The sequence below is a fragment of the Homo sapiens genome, chromosome 15, assembly GCF_000001405.40.
Source record: "Homo sapiens chromosome 15, GRCh38.p14 Primary Assembly".
In the NCBI taxonomy this organism is placed as follows: Eukaryota; Metazoa; Chordata; class Mammalia; order Primates; family Hominidae; genus Homo; species Homo sapiens.
The window spans coordinates 96,137,978-96,162,498 of NC_000015.10; the positions used below are offsets into that span (position 1 = coordinate 96,137,978).

At 39.8% G+C, this 24,521-nt stretch overlaps 2 long non-coding RNA genes and 1 other non-coding gene across 3 annotated transcripts in view; 1 reads left to right on the forward strand and 2 right to left on the reverse strand.

Moving 5' to 3' along the window:
• Positions 1-24,521, forward strand: part of LOC112268156 (uncharacterized) — a 236,909-nt gene that overhangs the window by 147,543 nt on the left and 64,845 nt on the right. The gene's annotated exons all lie outside the window — the stretch shown is intronic.
• Positions 1-24,521, reverse strand: part of NR2F2-AS1 (NR2F2 antisense RNA 1) — a 200,002-nt gene that overhangs the window by 10,618 nt on the left and 164,863 nt on the right. The gene's annotated exons all lie outside the window — the stretch shown is intronic.
• On the reverse strand, positions 1,486-15,045 carry LOC124903583 (uncharacterized). Its single transcript, XR_007064800.1, has 2 exons — positions 14,956-15,045; positions 1,486-4,953 (listed from the first exon to the last, which is right to left on the reverse strand). It is a non-coding gene; the product is annotated as an uncharacterized LOC124903583 (transcript).

Consider the following 24,521-nt stretch of genomic DNA (forward strand, 5'->3'; position numbering starts at 1 on the left):
CCTCTTAAGAGTGATTAATTTCTGGTCAGGCAAAGTGTCTCACACCTGTGATCCCAGAATTTTTAGAGTCTAAGGTGGGAGGATCACTTGAGCCCAGGAGTTCGAGACCAGCCTGGGCTTGAACATGGCAAAACTCCGTCTCTACACGAATAAAAAAATAGCAAGGTGTGGTGGCACGTACTTCTTGTATTAGTTCTCATGCTGCTAATAAAGATATACCCAAGGCTAGACAATTTATAAAGAAAAGTGGTTTAATTGGCTCACAGTTCCACATGGTTGGGGAGGCCTCATAATCATGGCAGAAGGCAAAAGAGGAGCAAAGTCACATCTTACATGGCGGCAGACAAGAGAGAGCATGTGCACAGGAACTCCCCTTTATAAAACCATCAGATCTCATGAGACTTATTCACTATCATGAGAACATCATGCAAAATACCCACCCCTATGATTCAACTACCTCCTACTAGGTCCCTCCCACAATAAATGTGAATTATGTGAGCCACAATTCAAGATGAGATTTTGAGTGGGGACACGGCCAAACCATATCACCTGTGGTCCCAGCTACTCATGGGACTGAGGTGGGAGTATCACTCGGGCCCAGGAGGTAAAGGCTGCAGTGAGCTGTAATCGCACCACTGCATTCCAAAAAACAAAAAAACAAAACAAAACAAAAAAAACAGCAATTTATTTCTAATTGTGAAACTCATGCATGGATTAGAAATTTATAAAATTTAGAGAACTTTAAAGATGATAATACAAATCACCTAAACTTAGACTATTGTTAGCATCCTGATGCAAATCATTTGAAAGATGTGTATGCATATGTGATAGATGTATCCCTACATATGGATCAGACTTTGATACAACTGTTTTTCTTCTTATTCGTTGAACATAGTGGGCACTTTTCCATGTAATCAAAATTATCAGAAAGCACCAATTTTGATTAGTACATAGTGTTCTAGCTCATGGGTATTCTGCAGTTTATGTAATACTTCAATGGCCATCCTTCTACACCCAGCCTTGCCTAGATCCTTACAGGTGGAAAGAAGGCTCAGATCCTAAGAATATATCCTAATCTATTCTAATTTCATATCATGAGATTGGCCTCCAGGAATGTTGCACTATTTTACTCTTTAACTAATGTTTATGAATGTGTCAAGCTTACCATGACCTCACCAATGTTAAGCATCATTTATCTTGATGTATGCTTTTTATAGCAATATGATACTGTTAGAACTGATATAGCACAACACTTGCACTGCCTTTTTAGCATAGCCTGAGAGTCACTTGGCTGACATTTTTAGAATTTAACTAATCCCCCTCAAAACCACTTTTCTGATATAGCCATGGTGAGTCTATGAGTACCAACTCATACTGTCAGTAGCTATCAATAAATATCCCAAACTATGAGAAAGTGCAGAGTGAAATGTCTTGGAGACCAAAGGAAAATCCCATGAGAACCAGGAGACAACAGATAAATCTGGCTTCTGGACCTACAGCAGATTCATTTATTAATTCATCCATTTTAGTAATATACAAGGTGATAAATTTGCAATAACATACATAAGGGGCTTCATTGATTATGAACAGAACATTGGGTGCAGACAAGATTTTCTTAATGCATGAGAGGTTAAGAATGATCGCTTTTGATGTTAATTGGAAGAATTCTCTATAGGGTAGGTGCTCTCTTGACAAATGAGTTCTCAGTTAATTTCAGGGCATGGTAAGTGAGTGGTACACTCTTTAAGAAAAAGTTTTCCTCTCATTTATCAATACTGTGCCCTATAATGCTATATTTAAAGTTGCTTCACTTATGATTACATTCTTAAAAAATTAAATTCAGAGTCAGGTCAAGAATATAACCACTTTGTTTTTAATTAGTAAGGAATAGTTTACAACAGAAAACTTGTTATTTCTCTGTGTGTTGAACCGAGAAATTCCTACTAATACACAATTCAGCTCACAGCATCACCCCTGGAAGGGCTTCTTCACCATTTGCAGATTCAATTAGTCAGGATGCTCTCTCTGCTTCTGCAATCCCTTTCATCTGTCTCTGTTATGTCACTAATTGTGTTGCCCTGGAATCAACTGGTGCCATGTTGCTCTCTCCAACTGAACTGTGAGGCCCTGAAGCCAAAAGTCATGATTCTGTCCATCTCTAGTACACAGGACAGTGCCTGTTATCAATATTTTCTTGCCGAATAAATAGATTAATGAACAGGGACAGTAGTAGTGTGTCTGGAATTTATTCCTTCCTGTGGGTTCTTGGTCTCGCTGACTTCAAGAATGAAGTCGCGGACTTTTGCAGTGAGTGTTACAGCTCTTAAAGATGGTGTGTCTGGAGTTTGTTTCTTCAGATGTGTCCAATTTCTTCCTGCTGGTGGGTTCATGGTCTCACTGACTTCAGGAGTGAAGCCACAGACCTTCGCAGTTTGAGTGTTACAGCTCATAAAGGCAGTGCGGACCCAAAGAGTGAACAGCAGTAAGATTTATTGCAAAGAGCGAAACAACAAAACTCAACAGCATGGAAGGGGACCTGAGGGAGTTGCCGCTACTGGTGCAGGTGGCCAGCTTTTATTCCCTTTTTTGGCCCTGCCCATGTCCTGCTGATTGGTCCATTTTACAGAGTGCTGATTGGTCCGTTTTACAGAGTGCTGATTGGTGCGTTTACAAACCTTTAGCTAGACACAGAGCGCTGATTGGTGCATTTCTACAGAGTGCTGATTGGTGTGTTTATAATCCTCTAGCTAGACAGAAAAGTTCTCCAAGTCTCCACCCCACCCAGAAGCCCAGCTGACTTCACCTCTCGGTAGCAGTGAAGTAGAGGCACACAGAGTCCACTTGGCTTTGTAAAAATCTAAGCAAAAGGACAGTGAAGATGTCAAGTTAGATGATGATGGTGGAAAACAAGGAGTGTTTTATTCAAAGTCAGTGGAAATTTATTTCAAGTAAACATAGGAAAGTTAAGAAAAAAGGTGTGTAGAGACTGTCAATTGCCCACCCCAAAACATTTTGCACTTTCGTCCTTTCCAATATAACTCCCATTTATTGAAACAGCACTGTGTCCCGATCTTTTGAACTCCATTTCTCTGCCTCCCTTGTAGATCAGAGTGGTCATGCGACACTACCCTGCTCAATTCAATGTCAGCAAAGATTATTACATGTTGCTTTCAGGAATGCTCCCCTTAAAGGGTGGCAGATTCAGTTGGCAGATGCCCTTTGATTCTGTGATCATCCTCTTCCTTTCTACCTGAAATGCAGAAGCTGCAGCTAGAGTTCAAGCAACTATCTTGAGAACATAAGAATGAGCATCACAGAGAATGTGCACACCGACCCTTGCTTCGGTCTATCTAGCTTATAAGTGTGAAAAACATTGTGAGATAAAATTGACAGGCCTTATAATGAAACTGGGGTATTTCCTGGATCTAGAGGTCAAACAACAGTGTAGAGACAAAGATAATGCTGAAGTTTTAAGGTTTTAACACCAGGAGGTTTATTTCCATATACAAACCAAATGGCTGAGACAAAGGGGGAAGGGATAGGAGAGCTGGTTTACAGAGACAATTGAAGAGTTTTGGCTTTATATACTGAGCTTGAGGAAATCCAGGTGAAGATAACAAGCTTAGGAGAAAAATCATGGTGGCCCAGCTCGTTGGATAGAGGAGATAACTGGAGTAGCAAGAATGGATGGGTTTGCTTAAAGATAAAGGATCAGGCAAAGAGAAGATGATAATGAACAGAACCCTGAGCATGCACCATAAAACAACAGAACAGTATTCATCAGAATTCAGAAGAAAACAAAATACAAGAAGAGTGCAGCAGACAGCAAGTGCAAGGATTTTCAACATGGTCAATGGTGCAAAATGGCAAAGGAGAAGAATCAAGTTGACCCTTGGGCAGGTAAAGGGGCCTGTGAAAAATATGGTTTCAGTACCTGGGAGAGGAAAGAGCTGGAGATTCAAAAACCCATGAGGAAGTGTTCTCAAGGAGAGTAAGCCTTCAAGGATTTTTACTATGAAGGGAGGAAGAGAAAATACCATATAACTAACACCATAAAAAGGTAGCAGGCTAGTCATTCCCCCCAGAGCAGCTTGAAAACAATTTGTTCATTGGCTGAACAATATGACATTTTAATATTTAATCAAATCTAATAGTTACTAATTTTCTACATTTAATGTGTATGGGGAATATAAAATAAGCTGCCAGTCACATTTTGGGCCAGCCAGGTTGCTGGTAGTAAATCTTTGTTTTTAAGACAAGCATCCTGGCCAGACACGGTGGCTTGTGCCTGTAATCCCAACACTTTGGAAGGCTGGGGTTGGAAGATCAGTTGAGGTAGGAGTTTGAGACCAGCCTGGGCAACATATTGAGACTCCAGCTATTCAGGAGGCTGAGGTGGGAGAATTGCTTGAGCCCAGGAGGTGGAGGCTGCAGTGAGCCAAGGTCATGCTGCTGCCCTCCAGCCTGAGCAGCAGAGCAAAAGTGATGCTGTCCCTGAAAAGAAAAGAAAAGAAAAAAAGCATCCTGTGAAATCCCTAAGTCCCTAATATAAGAACGTTTGTAAACAATATATTGCTATTTTATAATTAAGAGCCCATGGGCTTAATGTTTTAATTCCACAATGATTTTATTATGGCCTTTGCATTTATTTATACCTTTTAACCTTCCTCTCTTAACGGGTGAAAATTGGATGCTAAAAATTGCCAAGGTCAGCATTGCTTCATACTTGGCATTGGCCCAGCAAGCGTTTTCCACCTTCTCCCCTAGATCCCTATATTTAGCCAAACCCATATTTTGGATCTGACCAAGTAAGCTACTCCAGGCTCATACTGGCACCTCTCCTAAATCAACTCACCCACTGATTCTATAGAGTATATAACTTCATGGAAGGAAGGTTCGGAGAGAACTCGAGGATCTATCCACATTCTCATGTGTCTGTATTTGGACTGGCACCTAGAATTATGAGTATATAAAATCACCATGATCATCATTTATACATGTATTAACAGCCAGCAATTTTTCTAGCATTCACTGTGTGCCAAATATTTTATATGCATTATTTGATTTCGTTCTCCCAACAAGACTAACCCCATTTCACAGATGGTAAAAATGATTGTCAAAGATTTTTAGTGACCCATGTAGGGCCACAGAGCTAGAAAGCAGAGGGGCAGAAATATGAACCTAAGTGTGTTGAACTGTAAAGTCCAAATTTCTAATCACTGGGATTTACTGACTTTCATATTATCATGGACACTCCAATTTTAGAAGTATTTTTATAATTTTGCTCCTCATAATGAGCCAATTAAAATGGGTATAATTATTTTTCATTTGTATTATTAATTTTACTCACAGGTAACAACTTAGACTCAGAAATACGCCATAGACATTCAGCTAGTCATGAACCAAGTCAACATTCAAGCCCAGATATCCCACTCCAAACTCTAATCCCCTTCTTCTAATTACTTTACACTAGAACGTAAAATATGTTTATTAAGTCTAGTCTCTGCTGTGGTGGTCGGACACCTGTACTACAACCATTTGGACTGATTGTTTTCTTTGTTCTTAGTTATCTATTTTAAAAACACCATCCTCCAAAGGTTTCTAAAATCCAGTAATCCATATTAGAGATGGATCCCCCAGATCATTTGGAACAAGGCTTTGGGGTCGATCATATTTAAAACCAAAAGCAGAGCAAACCGTTTTTGGTTTACTATTTTGAGGTTCTGAAATGTTCAGTTGCGTTTGTTCCTTTTGGTCTGCAGCCAGGAACAGAGGCAGAAGGGCTCAAATACCAAATGAAAGGGTGTTCTCACAGTGTTTCTGGCCAGGACCACAGTGGAAATATCGGAAAGCTCACGAGCAAAGCTGTTCTTCTGAGATTTTTATCTCAGAAACCTGTAAAAGCAAGATACTTGCAAATATATATATATTTTTTCCTCTGAGTAGTTATCTGAGGCAAATTCTTACTGTGAACTCTGACAAGCCTGACTTTCCACATCATCTCTCCATCCCTACCCATGATGTCTATTCATCCATCCCAAGACCATGTGTCTATGCCTGTGTCCTCTTCTGCTTGAATGACTAGGTGATTCTTTTACAAATACACCTCAATCAGAGGTACACTTTGCCGTTTTGCTTTTCATTCCCAGAAGGACACATTAGAAGCCATTTATTCTACTTTCTTTAAGAGTACAGCCCAGGCAAATGAGGTCACCAAAAAGTCTACATGATTATATTCAACTTCCCAAAAGCTCTTAAATTGTTGACTTAAGAGAAATAGTGCATCCTCAAGACTCCTCAAATTTTTTACTGCATCTATATCCATTTCTACCACCTATTTTAGATTGTTAGATTAATATAGCTCAAAGCATAATTTGCATTTCTAAATTTTATCCCATTCCGCTGGTTTCAAGGGCAAAGTAGGAGCTCTCAAAATGTAATTGTCTTCCCTTTATTTAACAGCCATGGACTTGTGAATTTCTACTATTTAGGTATTAATTTTATTTCTAAATTAATGGTTTAATTTTTTCTAGATCATTTGTGTTCTACCCTCATAACTACCTTAGTTAAAGTAAAAACTACAGTACTTAAACAGAATCATGTTCAATATGAGAGTCCATTTAAACTAGCAGTTCAAGAAAAGAGCAGATATCCTTCAAGATAATCAGAAAGGCTGGGTCTCAGTCGGACAAAAAACAAGCAGCAAATTCCTTGAGGGAGGTTATAGAAAGGTAGGACATTAGTTAGAGATCATAAAGAGGAGTGTTCACTAAAGCATGTTCCATCAAACATCAATAAATAATTGCCACTTGAAGAAAGAATTGGGTGGTTAAATAAGTTTGAGAAACACTGAGTTCAACCAACTTAGCCAGTTCCTTTTTGTCAGGTTATTTCAGAAACTTTAAGGTGCTAATGGTCCCATTAACAGTCTGGAAGGGAATGTAATGTGCAGCTGCCAAATATGATTGATGGTACACAGTTTTTCCATAGACCATCTCGTGGGGTTATTGCTCCTTAGAATTCACTTTGAGGAGCTCTGAACTAGAACAACCATGGCCCATTGGAAGAAAAATAAGGGACCCTCTTCTAAGCATTGCACTAGTGTCTTAAATGTATCATTGTATTTAGTCTTTGCAACAATCCTCTACGCTGAATAGAAAATGTTGTTTCCATTTTACAAATGAGGACACTCAAGTGTGTTGGATGTATTAGTAGTTATTGACCCCGGCTGCTTTTAGACAATATAGAGACCAATCTCTGACCTACTGAGCTAGAATTTCAGGAGGATGGTCCAGGTGTATATGTGCATATATAACGCTCAACAGACGGTTTCGTTGTACAGTAATGTTTGCGAACTATTGGAAGAAACTATTTCCCCATGGCCATGTAATTTTTTTTTTTTGAGACAGAGTCTTGCTCTGTCTCCCAGGCTGGGGTGCAGTGGCGTGATCTCGGCTCACTGCAACCTCCACCTCCCAGGTTCAAGTGATTCTTGTGCCTCAGCCTCCCAAGTAGCTGGGATTACAGGTGCCAGCTGAGACTTTGAATTCTATCTTCTAACTCCCAAGTGCAGTGTTCTTTTTACTATAACATGCCAGTCATGAATGATTCTCTGCTGCCGGATGTCTCTAGATAAAAATCTGGAAATTGTCAGAAGATACACACTGGCTGATTGGTACCCTTTCACCTTCACTGTTCAAGGTGGAACAATAATCTCTAAGATAGTAGGTAAACAACATCATTCTTTAGAAATAAAGGTCAACACATTAAATTGCACATACTTCTCATGAAACCACCAAGAGACATATGTCTTATAAGCATTGCATAAGGTATTGTCAGATATGAATGCTTTCCTTACCATGATCAAATGGAGGCATTGCTGCATTTCTCCAGAGAATTATATATGGATTTCCAATGTTGGGTGACTGGTCCTTAAAAATCTAAATTAAACTATATTCTCAAATATAAAATAAGCCCTTTTCTTTGGCCTCTCTAAAATCCATGAAAACTTTCCTTTTCACATACAATGGTGAGTTTTCCAGATCTGCCTGCCTGCCCTTTCATTCTGATTGTGAATGTTCCGGTTCAACTCCCATTTCTGCAATAAAACTGCTTGTTTAAAAAAAATTGTCAGCAACTATTAACCCCTTTGCTTCTGCTTCCTCTGGTCACAGATAGCAATTGGACAGACTCCTGATCTAAACACTGAGTTTGTCCAATTAAAGTGCCTCAAGTACTAATTCATGGGGGGTAGAGGGTGTATTATTTTGTTTCTAAAGCAATTTTTCTATCCTGCAGACGTTTTACATTAATCTCCTTAGGCTACTTACTCTTTGCTGGTGTCTCTGTTAATAAGGAAACTTTAGCAGGTCTTAACCAGATAGAATGCTCCCTCGTTTAGGCCACTCAACAGTAGATGAACACACTTCTCAGTTATACCCTGAACTTTGGAATGAAGCAAGCAAACACCCAAACCTTGAAAAAATGTCTCCCTTTGCTCTCAAATGGGCTAAGAAAATTACTTAGAAAGGAGCAAAGGAAAATTCAAAGAGAAATGAGCTTGTCTTGTTATATTTACAGGTAAAATGGCTGTTTGGGGATACATTGTGCATATTTTGGTAATACACGGAATATTCACTCAGTTGAGCCTAATGGCTCTTCGAAAGCCATTAAGGCGTACTAAGTAAATACATATTTTTTTGTTATGTGTGCTAATTTGAAAAACACATTGTTTTACTTGAATGCATTCTTTCATGTCAGAAGCTACTGCCCCAGAAGTGGCCCCCTGTTTGGATTGGGCAGTTTACTGAGTAGGGAAGGGAGGTAAAGCCTTGTGGAAGAGGGTTTCTGCTGCACCTGGGAAAGCTCTGGTTAACAGCTGATGTTCGTTTTCAAAAAATGCATTTGAATGTTGGAAAACAAATGCTTTGGAGGTGATTCACATCATCTAAGAGCTGCAAGCGATTCCTGACGAGAAGGAGCTAAGAATATTCATAGGAGTTAAGAAAAACCCGTTTATGACATCAAATATCAAATGCCTCATACATTTGGGAGATGGAAACTTTTGCACAGTGTGTCGGGGGGTGGGGGGTGTTTACTGTTAACCAACGAATGGGGAAGGAGAACCACATTACATGGTTTTAGTGAACCAAATAAGACTAGTTGTTTAACTAGAGGTTATTTGTCAAACCTACTTATTCTCTCAATGAGGGACAAGAAATCTGGAGTGCTAAAGTGACTTGCCCACTATCCCAGAGCTACTAAGGAGCAGAGTGAAAGCTTATTTTTGTCTTATCATCTCCATGGTCACTCCATAGTAGGCCTTCTGCATGCACCAGGAGAAGTGGTCAATGCAGCTCCCTTTAAGAAAATTTCACCAAGGTATTGAAAAACCCACAGTCAGCCCAATTCTTAAGATACTCACAGTTTGATTTCACTGAATGCCTAAACTTGGACCATAACCCTTATTCATGTCCATGTATTCCCTATCTTGGATGGTGGCACCACGTCAGGTACCACACTCCAGAGCTGAGAGTCAGCCTGGATTCTCTCTCTTCCTTCTGCGCCTGAGCTCACCCCTATCTGCCACCAACCACCCAGCCCTCCCACTGTTCTGTGTCCCAGTGAACCTGACCTCCTTCAAGCCCTTACAGCCTGGCCCCGGACCACAGACTACATTACCCATTTCCTAATGGGCTTTACCACCCTAATTGTTATTCTTCACACAGGTGTGAGCAGAGGTATTTCAGCTGTGCCCAAGCCATCGTTTGTCCTTCTGCATAAAGCTTAAGCAATTTGGCCTGGGAAAGAAAACACCCATGAACTGGCCCCTGCCTGCCTCTCCAGTAGCATCACTCTCATTGCCCCTACCTCTAGCTCTGTGCAGCATAACATTGATTGCTGGGACTTTCTTACCCCCCCCCCCCCACACACACACACACACCTCACACACACGTACACATACCATGTGGGTTCATCTCCCTCTGATTTTCCTGCTTCACTCTCTGGAATGTCCTCTTACTCTAGTCTCCCCCACCTAATCCACCTAGATAACTTCAACTCATTCCCTAAGGCTTGACATACATACCTTCACCACCACCTCTGCTGGAAAACTCCCGTGTCCCCTGACACCCCACACTCACCAATGAGGTGACCCTCCCCATTGTTCCCATAAGGCACTCCATCCTACATTTCTGCGTTTAATTCTCTGCTTGTGGTCTTCACCATGGAAGAGGGTGAAGTAACTTTTTGAAATTCAGAATCATGTTTGTATTCTTTTGTATTAGAATACAAAGATTTATCTTTGTATTCTAAATGCCTATCATGGGACCAAGAGTTTAACAGGTGCTCGGGGTTTGTTGAATAAATGGAGAAATAAAGCATTCATATCCCAGATAATTCCATTTTCCAAAATTATGCTACAGTATGGATTCTCATTTTAATGTAAGTGTAAAAATTTCAACCTTTTATTTATTTCATTTTTAGGAATTGCAAGCATGTACATTTTTACTTAGTTGACACATAATATCAAATGATATTAAGCATTTTGAGTGGGTCTCTTAATAATACTGTAATGGCCTCTAGTTGCAAATAAGCTAATCTTTCATAATTTGAAGTATTATCAGAATGAAGGATGAAGGCAGTGGAAGAAAACCATCTTTTTTTTTTTTTTTTAATGGAGTCTTGCTCTGTCACCCAGACTGGAGTGCAATGGCATGATGAGCTTGGCTCACTGCAATCTCCACCTCCCAGGTTCAAGCAATTCTCCTGCCTCAGCCTCCCGAGTAGCTGACATTACAGGTGCCTGCCACCACACCTGGCTAATTTTGTATTTTTAATAGAGATGGGGTTTCACCATGTTGGCCAGGCCGGTCTTGAACTCTTGACCTCAGGTGATCCACCCACCTCAGCCTCCCAAAGTGCTAGGATTACAGGCATGAGCCACCACACCTGGCCAGAAAACCATCTTATCTTGAGTACCCACTACTTGCTAGGAGTTATATTCTCTACTTTTCAGGTAAAGAAATAGTTACATAGAGGTCAAATAACTTGAATAGAGCAGAGTCAGGATTAGAACTCAGATCCGTCTGAATCCAAATCTATGTCCCTCTGACTGCACCAAGTTGCCTCATGCAAGAATACCATCATATTACATTTAGATTTTATACAACCCATCCAAGAATGCATGAAGAATTTTTAAATGTTTAATACATGAGAGATTCACAAATTTGCTTATAAAGTATTATATTGAAGTGACTTTCATTATTTTAAATAGCTTGTGCTTGATTTCTTTAGAGAAAAGAAACAAATAATCAAAATAAAGATATAAAAATCCTTGGCTCTGCGCATTGCTCATCCCTTTAAAGGCTACAGACCATGGCCTCTGGCTCACAGAAAGCCCAAATGAATTCTATTTTCCCTTCTCCCTCATCCAGCAGAGCACAGCTTTGCAATCCTCCTTCCATTATTACCCCTTGTTTCTTTTACCAACCCCATCTCATTTTAAAATATCATTTTTATGAAGGGTAATGTTACATGGTAGAAAACTGTAAAAAATTAATGGATAGAGTTGGTATGAGGAAAATGCATTATTTCAATAGTTTTATTACTTTTGCCCATTACACATTTACAAGTTTTGTTGTTTATATGGGTATGTTTTATAGATGGCTCTATTCAAAACATATTACTTTAACACTTTGATCATTGAGAAATTTAAATCAACACTCGGCTTGCTTTTTCCAAAGGAAGAACTCTTTCGAAATATTTACCTAGATTGTTGTTAATATTCTTATTCGTTTGTTAAAAAAAGAATTATTAGAACCTCTCACAGAGGGTCATATAAAAATTATCTTAAGGTTGAACAAATGTCATTAGCCCATTCATTTAGCTCCTGAAAGCCCAACAACAAATATTTGTTAGAACATCTATTGTTCTCAAACTCCTGGGCTCAGGCGATCCCCCCGCCTTGGCCTCCCAACATGCTGCGATTACAGGCACGAGCCTGTGAATCCGTGCCCAGCCACATCTATTGTTCTCAATATTTTGTTTTGTTTGTCACTGACTCAAGTGCCTAGAACAGTGCCTGGTGCTGGTATGTGCTTTCAAAACACATGTCCAGTGAGAAAATGCTGTCTAGTAATCCCAGCTGTCATCTAGTGATATTTTTTTCTGTGTTCACATTTTTATTCTATCACTTAGACTATCAGTTAAACTCTGACTAAATGAAGCAAAAGAAAAGAGGAAAATGATTGGAAGGATATGGAGCGGCTCAGAGAAACCAAAAGCTGGACGCTCAGATCGTGACAGAACAAAGATGGGAACCAGACAGCTTCAGGGCTCCAGGTAGCAGGAATGAATAAACAGCCTCTTCAAGGTTCTGCTCACAGGAAGAATCTGTTCCAAGCATATTCCCACTTTTGTGTCTCACCACTCGGAATTCAGCTTCCCGGAAGGGAAAGCCTGAGTGGCTGAGCTTGAGCTATTCCCCCTGCTTAAGACTGGAAGGTGGATAGGGAGTGGACTTGGCAAAGCACCACATAAACCACGTAGACCGAGACCAAGCAGGGATGACTCCCTCAGAGAAAATCCAGGTATTCCTCCTGAATAACAAACAAAATTGACAAATATCCACCAAGTCTCTGACAGTATATTGGATGAACTCCGATTGCATCTTCTAACAAAGTGATGAAATTCTTACATATTAATTTTGCATCCTGAGGTCTCAAATTTCATTTTCTACATAAAATAGCCAGCAGCTTTGTACAATATTTTCTAATTACGTGCTTCCTCTCCCATTCTATTTCCCATGCCCACTCAGTCCAAAGAAATAGAAAACTGAATAATAAATTAAATACAAAGAGTGAGTTAATAGTAAGGGAGGCTGGAGAAGTTGATTTTGGATGAGTAAAACCTTAAAATCATTATATTGTAAGCCTAAGGTATAAAATGATTAACTATACTAATACTAAACAATGATGTTTATGAGAGTCTTTTTTAAATGTGTGAGTCTCCATAAAGAAAATCTACGTGACAGATCTGATACTCAGGTAAACACAAAAATGGGCAAATTGTTTGAAGAACCCATAAAGTGAGATTTAAGACAAACTGAGAAAAACACTTCAGTGGGAGGAATGAAGGAAGAAAGCAGTTGGTTCCTTCCCTTTCATGGTCCAAAACGTTGCTCTTCATACTTCCCCTAGCAAGCTATTCTCTCTCTCTTTCACTAGCCAATTCAAATGTCACCTACTCTTAAGACATTTCCTTTAATATATTCCTCCTTTCAGTCAGCCAAGCCTTCTGTCCTATTCCTATAGTATTTTCTAAATGCAAGTATTGCAGCTTTATTTCATTGGCTTTTTCTCTTAATCTGCCACATTCGTACATTACATTTATTGAGGATTTGTTGTGTGCTAGACGTATAAGTGCTTTATCACGCTTAGAAGTATCATAATAAGTAGGCCGGGCACAGTGGCTCATGCCTGTAATACTAGCACTTGGGGAGGTCGAGGTGGGAGGATACTTGAGGTCAGGAGTTCAAGACCAGCCTGGCCAACAAGGTGAAAACCTGTCTCTACTAAAAATACAAAAACTATTAGCTGGGCATGGTGGTGGGCTCCTGTAATCCCAGCTACCCGGCAGGCTGAGGCAGGAGAATCACTTGAGCCCAGGAGGCAGGGGTTGCAGTGAGCCGACATCGCTCCTCTGCACTCCAGCCGGGGTAACAGCAAGACTCTGTCTCAAAAAAAGAAAAAAAAGAAATATTATCATAAGTAAAACTATATTTTTATGTCTGTATTTATAAATATCATAAATATTTTGTATTACGTTATTTTATAGTATTAATTTTAAGCATTATATTATCACCCCAACAATCCTTTGGAGTAGGTCTTCTGGTTGTCTTTATTTTACAGACCAGAGAGATTAAGTGCAATCATGAGTCACTTAATGATTGCGAAACATTCTGAGACATGAAATGTTATGTGATTTTGTTGTCATTGTGTGAACATCAAAAAGTGTAGCTATACGGCCAGGCGTGGTGGCTCATGCCTGTAATCCCAGCACTTTGCGAGGCCGAGGCAGGTGGATCACCTGAGGTCAGAAGTTCGAGACCAGCCTCAACATGAAGAAACCCCGTCTCTACTAAAAATACAAAATTAGTCAGGCATGGTGGCACATGCCTATAATCCCAGCTACTCAGGAGGCTGAGGCAGGAGAATTGTTTGAACCTGGGAGGCGGAGGTTGTGGTGAGGCGAGATCATGCCACTGCACTCCAGCCTGGGGGCAACAAGAGCAAAACGCCATCTCAAAAAAAAAAAAAAAAAGTGTAGTCACACAAACCTAGATGGCGTAGCCTACAATACACCTAGGCTACACGGTATGGCTTACTGCATCTACGCTACAAATCTGTACAGGCTAATATTTGTACAGATTTGTGCAGATTACAGATCCGTACAAATATTTCTGTACTGAATGATGTAGACAATGGTCACACCATGGTATTTGTGTATCTAAACATACCTAAACATATAAATGGGATGGTAAAAATATGGTCCCATTATAACCGTCTTTTTTTTTTCTGTTTTTTTTTTTTTGTTTGTTTGTTTTGTTTTGTTTTTGAGACGGAGTCTCGCTCTTGTCGCCCAGGCTGGAGTGCAGTGGTGTGATCTTGGCTCACTGCAACCTCTGCCTCCCTGGTTCAAGTGATTCTCCTGCCTCAGACCCCCGAGAAGGGGGGATTACAGGTGCCCACCACCACGCCCAGCTATTTTTTTTTTTTGTATTTTTAGTAAAGCCCCTGGGGTTTCACCATGTTGGTCAGGCTGGTCTCCAACTCCTGACCTAGGTGATCCGCATATAATCTTCAACTGCCAGGTGCAGTGGCTCACACCTGTAATCTCAGCACTTTGGGAGCCCAAGGCCAGAGGATGACTACAGCCTAAGAGTTCAAGACTCACCTAGGCAACTTAGGGAGAACTTGTCTCTATAAAAAATAAAAACGAAAAAGTTAGCCAGGTGGGGTGATGAATATTTGTGGTTCCAGCTACTCGAGGGGCTGTGGTGGGAGAACCGCTTGGTCCTGGGAGGTTGAGGCTGCAGAGCCCCATGATGCACTCCAGCCTAGGAGTCAGAGTGAGACCCTGTCTGGAAAATAAAAACAGAAAGATGATCCTCAGTGTTAATAGTTCCCAACCTGCTGATGTCTTTAACTCAGTCAGCCTCCTCTTCACCCTCCTGTTTACCCATAGAGCCAGAGCCAGCACATTCCTTAGGCAGAAAACATTAATGGAGACGCAGCCCTCAGGAGAATGTTTCCTGGGTTTCCACTGTGATCTCCATGAGTTCCAAACCTATGGCCAGCCCTACTCAGCTTGTTGGATTATCTTGAAATCCCAAGATTCCCCCATTTCTTTCACAGAAAAATGCAGTAAAATATTATTTTATTTTGTTTAGAATCTACATTTTATTATTTCAACCAAAATAATATTTTAGGAGAAGTGGTATAATAGTCAGTACAATCTCTACCAGCCATTAGCCATGTTCTTGGTTGAACTTCTAAAACTGAAACTGGACTGTAAGTGCCTTGAGGGCAGGACCCAAGAACCATTTGTCTTTGTCTTTGTGTTCCTTCTGCGCCTAGAACAAGGGCACATGATATTTTAAGGAGCCAATCTGATAAAGCCATTTGAGCTACAACATTTTGATGCAAATGAAATATCAAACAATTTTGGGGCTTTTTATAAAAACTATTAAGTCACTAGTGCAACGGTCAATATCAACTCTATCGTATCTGGTAATCACAAATGTACCACCTCAGTCTCCTTAGAAAGGGCCATCTGTCAGGCCAGGTGCGGTGGCTCATGCCTGTAATCCCAGCACTTGGGGAGGCCGAGGCAGGCAGATCACTTGAGGTCAGGAGTTCGAGACCAGTCTGGCCAACATGGTGAAACCTCGTCTCTACTAAAAATACAAAAATAAGCTGGGCGTGATGGTGGGCACCTGTAATCCCAGCTACTCAGGAGGCTGAGGCAGGAGAATCACTTGAGCCTGGGAGGCAGAGGTTGCAGTTAGCTGAGCTTGCACAACTGCACTCCAGCCTGGGTGACCGAGCTGGGACTCCATCTCAAAAAAAAAAAAGAAAAAAAAAAGAAAGGGCCATCAGTCATCAGGAGACACTTCTGCTTGCTCATCCTCTGCTGCTTCACTGGTATCTTGAAAAGCATGCATCCCAGATTCACAAATATCATCCTTAAAGTTAAAATGCCTCTTATGCTTGGGCATATCATAATCCCCAGGGAGAAAGGGGACCCATTTTGAAAAGCATATAGATCATTATAGAATTTGAAAAAAATAATAAAAGACATTTTTCTGAATGCACAAAAATTCAAGCTCGATTTTATTTTTTTGGTTACAACAGATGATTCTATAAATCTTCAGGGATAGGGAGAGAGCCTGAGATTTTTGATTCTCAAAAGAAAGTTGGATTCAAAAGTAGTTGAGAGATCCCTATATAGATATCTTATAGATATCTTCTATATCAATAGAAGATGGATATCTTTGCTTTCTATAGACTTTGGGGTTATGTAGCATTCCTCAATTGGTTTGTAATTGAGTAGCATGTTTCACAGAAGTTAATTTCTAAATGTACTATTGAATTGACCCTTGAAAATCCCTTAAACCAGCAGTAGCATACAGGATGTGTGGACATGTGCATCATGGAGAAGAGTACTTGTTGTATACACCTGAGAACCACCACCCATGCAGCAAGATGCTCTCATCACCAGTAGGAAAGGATGGGTGATGTTGCTAAGAGTAACTGATGGGCTAGAAGATCCAAACCCTCATCCAATACTTCTCACTCCCAGGAAAAGAGCAGAAACTCATGCAATAAAATGGAGGGTAGAATTATTAACTACCCTAGTTAATTTTTTACATATACATATAGATGTATAAGTGTGTATATTTGCCAAGGATAAATACATGAATTTTCTGAAGTTAAGCTAAGGATGCAATTCCAGTGTATATGCAGGAGGGGAAGGGGCTAGAAAGATAGTTGAACCCAATTATGATCCCTTGTCCCACTTTCTATCAGCATTTAAGATCTTCAATTAAATTCCTATCTCCTCTCTCAGTTGTATAAATATAAAGCCCCTTTACAATGAAGGTGGTCAAGAGAACTAATTGTCCTATAAAGATATTGTCCTTCTTAACAGACTTTATGAAATCATTGTATTTTTCCAATGCAAGCTTATTTTCCAACACATCCACAGAAAATCCAATCAATATGGATCCTGTTAAAACTGAAAACTATCCAAAAAATTATCCAAAATCAAGATAAGTGTTAGGGACTGACCAAGGGTCAAAAATGCAGCTGGGATCAGGAATCTCCACTGTACACATTACTTGTGATTTTTGTTTTACGTAGCAACTGTATATTTCGGGTGGGCCAGCCACATGTCAGTGTCACTTAATATGTGCTCAATAAACACTTGTCAAATAAAGGTTTGATGGATCAGATCTCTTCAAGAATGCTTTAAACTTGACTGCAAATTTAATGCAAGAGTTCATTCACAATCTAGATGCTATTGTTTTAAGAACTTCAATGACATTTTTTGTCTCCATGACTTACCAATATTGAAAAAAAGTATCTCAAATAAGAAGTTTTAATTTTAGCCTCTGCAAATTGAGCAAGAAATACTATTGCTCATTGCACTATAATACATCAAAAAATAGAGTTACTTGACGTGACATATCCTCTTTCACCATGATGACCTCCCACCTTTACTGTGGTACTGTCATTTTTAGGTGACACCTGCTTTGCTTGCAACCAACAGCTCTGTGTGTGCCATGCTGCAGCAGATGGCTTGAGGCGTGATGTGTTAATGGCAGTGATTACTTTATGAATAGTGACAGCTGATCAGAGACATAATAAAACAATAGTGGCTGCCATCCTGGAAAAGGTGCTAAATAGGGGTGACATGCTTAGTGAGGACTATTCCTCTCTCTTGAACCTCATTATCAATTCCAAAGGGACACAGGAGCCAGCCAGGCAACTGCAGGCTCACACACATTGGAGAGAACCAAACCCGCCCAAAGATTTCCCTCTGAGTTAATTGGAGTTGGGGAGGGTGTACAGCTTTTAATGTGCAAGCCATTTGGGTAAATGTGAATGTGTCTTCCCAATTTTACTCCTCATACACTATCCTCTGAGATTGTGGCCTGATGCTCACCACTTTTAAGAAGTCTGGTTCCTACCACTCTTCTTCATGAATCACAGCCTTGAGCCAGGGTAGAAATCACCATGATAGACTATAAGGAAATCAACTTGTGTGTCTTGTGAAATTATATTCCTAAGGACAAGTGATTTTCTGAACAAATTTCTAACTGGAATTCATAACTCTAGGAAAAGTTAATAGTGAAGGGAATCACAGTCAGGTTTCTGTTAAGGGTCATTCATTCATTCCACAAATTGGACACTGGAGAATGAAGCAAATAAAGTGAAGTCCTTACCTTCAAGGTGCATTATCTCATAAGAAAGACATATGTAAGCAGTTATAATCCAGAGTGATGAGTTATGATTATCTTCCATATTGAGCATAAGATTAGTCTGAGGTTTGAGAAAACAATGTCACATTACAGATATATATACATATATATATATATATATATATTTTTTTTTTTAGACGGTGTCTCACTCAGTAGCCCAGGCTGGAGGGCAGTAGTGTGATCTTGGCTCACTGCAACCTCTGCCTCCTGGGTTCAAGCAGTTCTCCTGCCTCAGCTTCCAGCATAGCTGGACTACAGGCAAGTGCCATCATGCCCAGCTAAATTTTGTAGTTTTAATAGAGATGGCGTTTCACCATGTTGGACCAGGCTGGTCTTAAACTCCTGACCTCAAGTGATCCACTCGCCTTGGCCTCCCAAAGTGCTGGGATTACAGGCATGAGCCACTGCACGTGGCCTAAATGTATATAAAATTACCTAATAAAATAAACCTTCAATATTCCATTGAGTTTACCCAATCCTTGTGATTTATCCTAGATTACCAAGATACCTACTTAAACTATATAGCTTTTCACTAATTCAAAAGAACATGAGGTCTTCCATGGTCTGTCTGTTCTGTTGAAGCTTCTGGTAGGTCCTGCTCTTGTTTTTAGTTATTTGCTCACATGTAAAAACCTAATATACATAAGGCTTCTAAATAACCTAAAGCAAAAAATACTGTACACAAAATATTTTCCACTCTCTTTGATGAGGAGGGATGAGAAGAAACATTCGGCATATCTTCTCTGCAGAACAAATGAGTATGCCCATCTCCATTGGGCTCCCCTGAGCTCATGATCCACAGCCTGGAAAGGCCAGCTAGTATCATGTGAAATAAATAGGCATCTCTTCCGTATGTGCAGTCTGCCACCGGTATTCTCTTTATAAGTCTCAGGACCCAAACTAAATGAGAATATTACAATGACTTCATCCCGCCCATTACAGTATCTCCCCAGAGTGACTATTAGAGAATTACTATATTATGTCTGCCCTGGAGACATTTGAAGGTCCTGATATATTTCAGTGATTTTACTTAACCCAGTAATTAGTTTACACAGTTTTATGAAGATTTTACTGCTTTAAAGATGACAGTTTTTCTTCTGAAAATTAGTTCTGATACCCAGTCACTTCATTTCATGGTTTATGAGAGACTGGATATATTGGGTAAAAGATCTTCATTTAAGAATATGGAAAAACATCCCCTTTTACTAACTGAATATGGTTTGGTACATTCTCCCTTTTTTGTTAATTTTCCTTTTTTGGCCCATATACCATGTGGGATTGTTTACAAGGCCAAGGAAAATGTAGTTTTGCTTATTTTTTAATGCAGTCTAGATGTACAGCTGACTCTTATTAAGAATAATAGGAGTCTTGCATATAAAATGCGGGAAAGTGATTTAATAACTTCCAAGGCTTTGAAAATGTTACACACACATCTGTAACAAGTAACAAAAACACCCTGGCCCTGTTAATTCAGTGAATAAATTATTAGTTGTGCACCTTCTATGTTCTTCACACTGTCCTAGGCATTGAGGCACAGCAGGGAAAACAAAATAAATTCCCTTCGTTCTTGAAATGGGCATTCTAGAGGAGGGAAGAAAACAATGAACAAAAATAAATAAATACAAATAGAGGAAAGAATGATGAAGGGATCAAGGAAAGCTGGAGGAGAAAGGACAATTGGGAAGAGATCTGAACCAGGCGAGGGAATAGGCCGTGCAAAACGTGGAGAGGAATGTTCCAGAAAGAGGGACTAGCTTGTGTGAAGGCCTTGCAGTGAAAAACTGCTGAAGAGCTCCAGGCAATGCGGTCCTAGCATGGTGAATGAATACCTAAGAATGCCTTGCAACCTGGCTTCATTGATTTATTGATATTAATAAATGAGAGTACCAAGCGGCTGGTGCCGGGGAACTCCTGCATCATTTCAGCTACATATATGAGAGCGTGTAAAATTTCTCAGACACAGCAGTGAAAAAGACGTGGATAGAAAAAAATGGCCGGGCCCGGTGGCTCCCACTTTTAATCCCAGCACTTTGGCCAGCCAAGGCGGAAGGATCACTTGAACTCAGAAGTTCGAAACCATCCTGGGCAACATGGCAACCTGTCTCCACTAAAAATACAAAAATTAGCCAGGCATGGTGGGGCCTTCCTGCAGTCCCAGCTACTCAGGAAGCTGAAGTGAGAGGATCATCTGAACCCGGGAGGTGAAGGTTGCAGTGAGCCGAGATCCTGCCGCTGCACTCCAGCCCGGGTGACAGAGCAGGACCCTGTCTCAAAACAATAAATAAATACATACATACATAGCATACTTTTACATGGTTCCTTATGTACACAAGTGTAGCTACTTTACCTCATCTTTTTTTTTTTTTTTTGGTCCGGACTCTCCATCTTCTTCCATTGGCTATTCCTCCACCAAGACAAAAAAGCAGCAGAGCTGAAAGGATGTTGCTTTGGCTTGTTGACACCCACTTCCGACTCTGGGATTAAACTGAGTTTGCTTACTAAGAACCCCTCCTGACCACCAAGCAATGCAGTTCCAGGATCAGAGGTCATCCTCTTCCAATCTTTGACTTCCACCCGGAGTTGTAGATAACCCTTCAGGAAAACATGTGGTGAAAGTCATTTTGCTCTGTGAGCCAACAGAAAATTGGCCCTTGAGATGACTTTTAACGGGATTTTGTAAGCCATGAGCAGAAAAGCACGGGTTCCGACCAGGCATGGAATTCAGAGTTGTAATAGAAAACATTTATTTGGCTTCAGCTAAACATCCTAACACATGTTAGCATTTGCTGCCAATATGCTTCCTAATTAAGAACAACATAAAATCATAGGAAATCCTGCATCCTGTCTTCATGCACTTCTCATGTATCTTTAGTGCCCTGGCCTTCTTTCTCAAGCACATACACATTCACACACACAATACAGGTTGATTCAAAAGTCCTGTTTTGCCAACCATGAACTGTGGTGTCATTAACAAGATTAATGTACCTTCCAGAAGGTACCACCAAGCATTTTTTCTTCCTTCTTAAACAAATGCTGCTATTAAAAACTAATTTTTAAAAAGCTAATAAGGCATCCCCCAAATAAAAGACCAACAACATTTAATTTGTAAAGTATTATCTGTAACTGATGTGAAACTTCAAATAGTGTGTGTATATATATATATATATATATATATATATATATATATATACATATATCTTCTCTCTAGGCTTGCCTGGACTATTGGCTATGTTTCGATGAACAGATTCAACATGATAAAATATATGAACATGACCAATAGTCCTCTTTCAAGATGAAGGACAGACTAGGATCCGGTTTTCCTCTTAGTTCCTCCTTAAATCCATGCTCATTTCGTCTGAAAATATTTAAAGATATACCTGTGAGTGCTGAATCATCACCCCCTCATGACAAATAAATGAACATTACGTGATTACTGCACAGGTGAAAATGTATTTGATATTTCTAATTACGACTAGAATTGTATGAGTTAATCTTAGAATCCCCAGATTTATCAGTGATCCTACATAGCCAAACTAATTGCTTCTATTCCCCACCATCAGGCAGAAATCATTAAAAAAAAAAAAAAAGCAGAGGGAAACCAATCACTCAGGCACATTGTATGTTAAGTTTCTCCCACTAGTTCCACATGATTTTTTTTTTTCATGCACTGGAATAGACTCTGAAACAACACATAGAAATAAAACCTGGGTCTGAAAAGCTATCTTAAAACATTTTCCTTAAGACTTTTTAATGATTTTCAGAATCATTAATTTTTTTCAAATGAAACGCACATGCTCTTGTTGCTTCTTTCCTGAGCATAGCTTTTCATTCCTCCTCATCTTTTTCCCCCTTCCAAATCTATTTATTGCTTGTTGTTCTTGGCTCTTTCTCACTTTCCATTTTTCATGATTAGTTCTTTATGATCGTGTGTTTCCTTTTCTTCTCCCCGCCGTGGCTGCCAGCCCAGTTGTTCTCTCCGGGCCCTCGAGTTTCCCTTCACTAATGAAACAAGAGCTGCCTCCCGCCCTGGCTTTTGCCATCCAGCTGTTTCCTTTTTAAGATATAAACTCATCTTTATTCAGTGAAGTTCCTGGGCAAACCTGATTCCTTTTGCAGAAGAGTTGATAATAACCTGAGCGATTAAAAAGGTTTTAAGAGGAACGTATATCTGGAAAACTTGGGAGCGGGTGGAAGGAGGGTAAATAGAAAATGAAATTCATTTTTGAAAGATTCTGAGGAAAAAAGAACAACAACAACAACAAGCATTTTCCTTAATGTTTTAATCCTCCTCGGCAGCTCATGGTGGCAGCCTGGCCTTGAGCATTCTCCTGGAAGTCCATCCACTCCTTCCCAGCAACTTTCACCTCCTACCTTGCCTGCTTAACATTTCTTGGCCTCTGTGAAAGTAGCCTAGCTAACACTGCAAACCTGGATTGTATATGATTAGGTGGTGAAAAGGTGCCAACCTGAAGTGTAGCCTGCCAAGTCAAGTCAATTTACTGTGATGCTTTGACTGTGCAAGCAGGTCTTAATCCCTCTTTAATCTCCCATGTGCCCTTGACATCATGGAAATTACTGGCAAAGCTAATGGCATCAGATGAACCCTGGTAACTCTTTCAGAAAAGGTTCCCTGAACAAAATAACCTGTTTACTTCCTAAGTTTTCAAATCCCCCAAATATATCAAGAAAAAACGAATTAGCCCACAGCTATCATCTTACCAAAACAGAGGGGCTAATTCTTTCTCAGTATTATAACTGATAAGACCTCATGTGACTTGGAATTTATATTCTACCCAAGCATCGGTTGAGTGTGTTATAGTTAAGACTTGATTGATTAGATAAAGGGGTTTCCTAGTAGCTCTAGCTGCTCTGACTTTTAGGGAAACTTTTTCCTTTAAATCTGAGAATCCCTTCCTTTTCTGAAAACACTTGTTCTGATATAAAATTTCCAATGGAATCATTTTTCACCAGAAAACTAAAGAAACAAAAGCAAAAAGAAAACAAACAGAAAGGAAACAGAAGAAAAAGGAATTTAAAAAGTATTTATCGGATATAATCTCACCTGAAAACAATTATCAAGCAAGATAAAAATCAGCATCTACATTGGACAGAAATGGGATTATAACAACAGTAGTTCTTCACCATTTACAAAACACTTTCCCACATATATATATAGAGAAAAAGAATACATCTCTCTGTGATATATATCTCACATATATATTATATAAAAAATAGAAATATATAGAATAGAAATATATATAGAAAATAGAAAATATATAGAAAGAAGACAGATAGATGATAGATAGATAGATAGATAGATAGATAGATAGATAGATAGATAGATAGATGGGAGATAGAAAGTTAGAGTTCTTTGATGACAAGCCTCAAATGTCCCAAAATAAAGATTTTCTTAGAACTCGCATGAATCAGAATGTGTATCCTGGATACTTGCAGCGTGAGGGTTCTCTTCTATGGGAACCTCTCAGAAGATTCTCCTGTCTTAGAAGGAAAAGAGCCTGAGAGGACAGGTCTGATCTTGACTACCACATTTTATTCTCTAATCAACTCCGGTAAAAATAATTCCAGAATCTCCTCAATAAAGAAGAGTGACACCCATTTCCTGTCCTTTTGCATGGTTTCACACCTAGTGTCTATGAGCCCAGGAAGAATCCCTTGAGTCCTACCAGGAAAGGAAGGCAGGAAGATCTTGGATCCTGAAAAATGAAACTTGCTTGATTTTGATATGAATACCTGCCCCACCATGCATGCCAACTGATATCATAGCTCAGAATTCTTCCTGACCCCTGGTTTCCGTTGCCTGGCTGACCTTTCAACATCCCCTGTGCCTGCTGTTTCCCTCCCTAGCTCTGACTCACAACACATCTCATTGCAACCATTGGACTCTGAGACATTGTCCCCAAGGTAGATCCCAACCTCTGGATTCTGTTTGTCCCTCTGCCCTCCAGAGAAATATTGG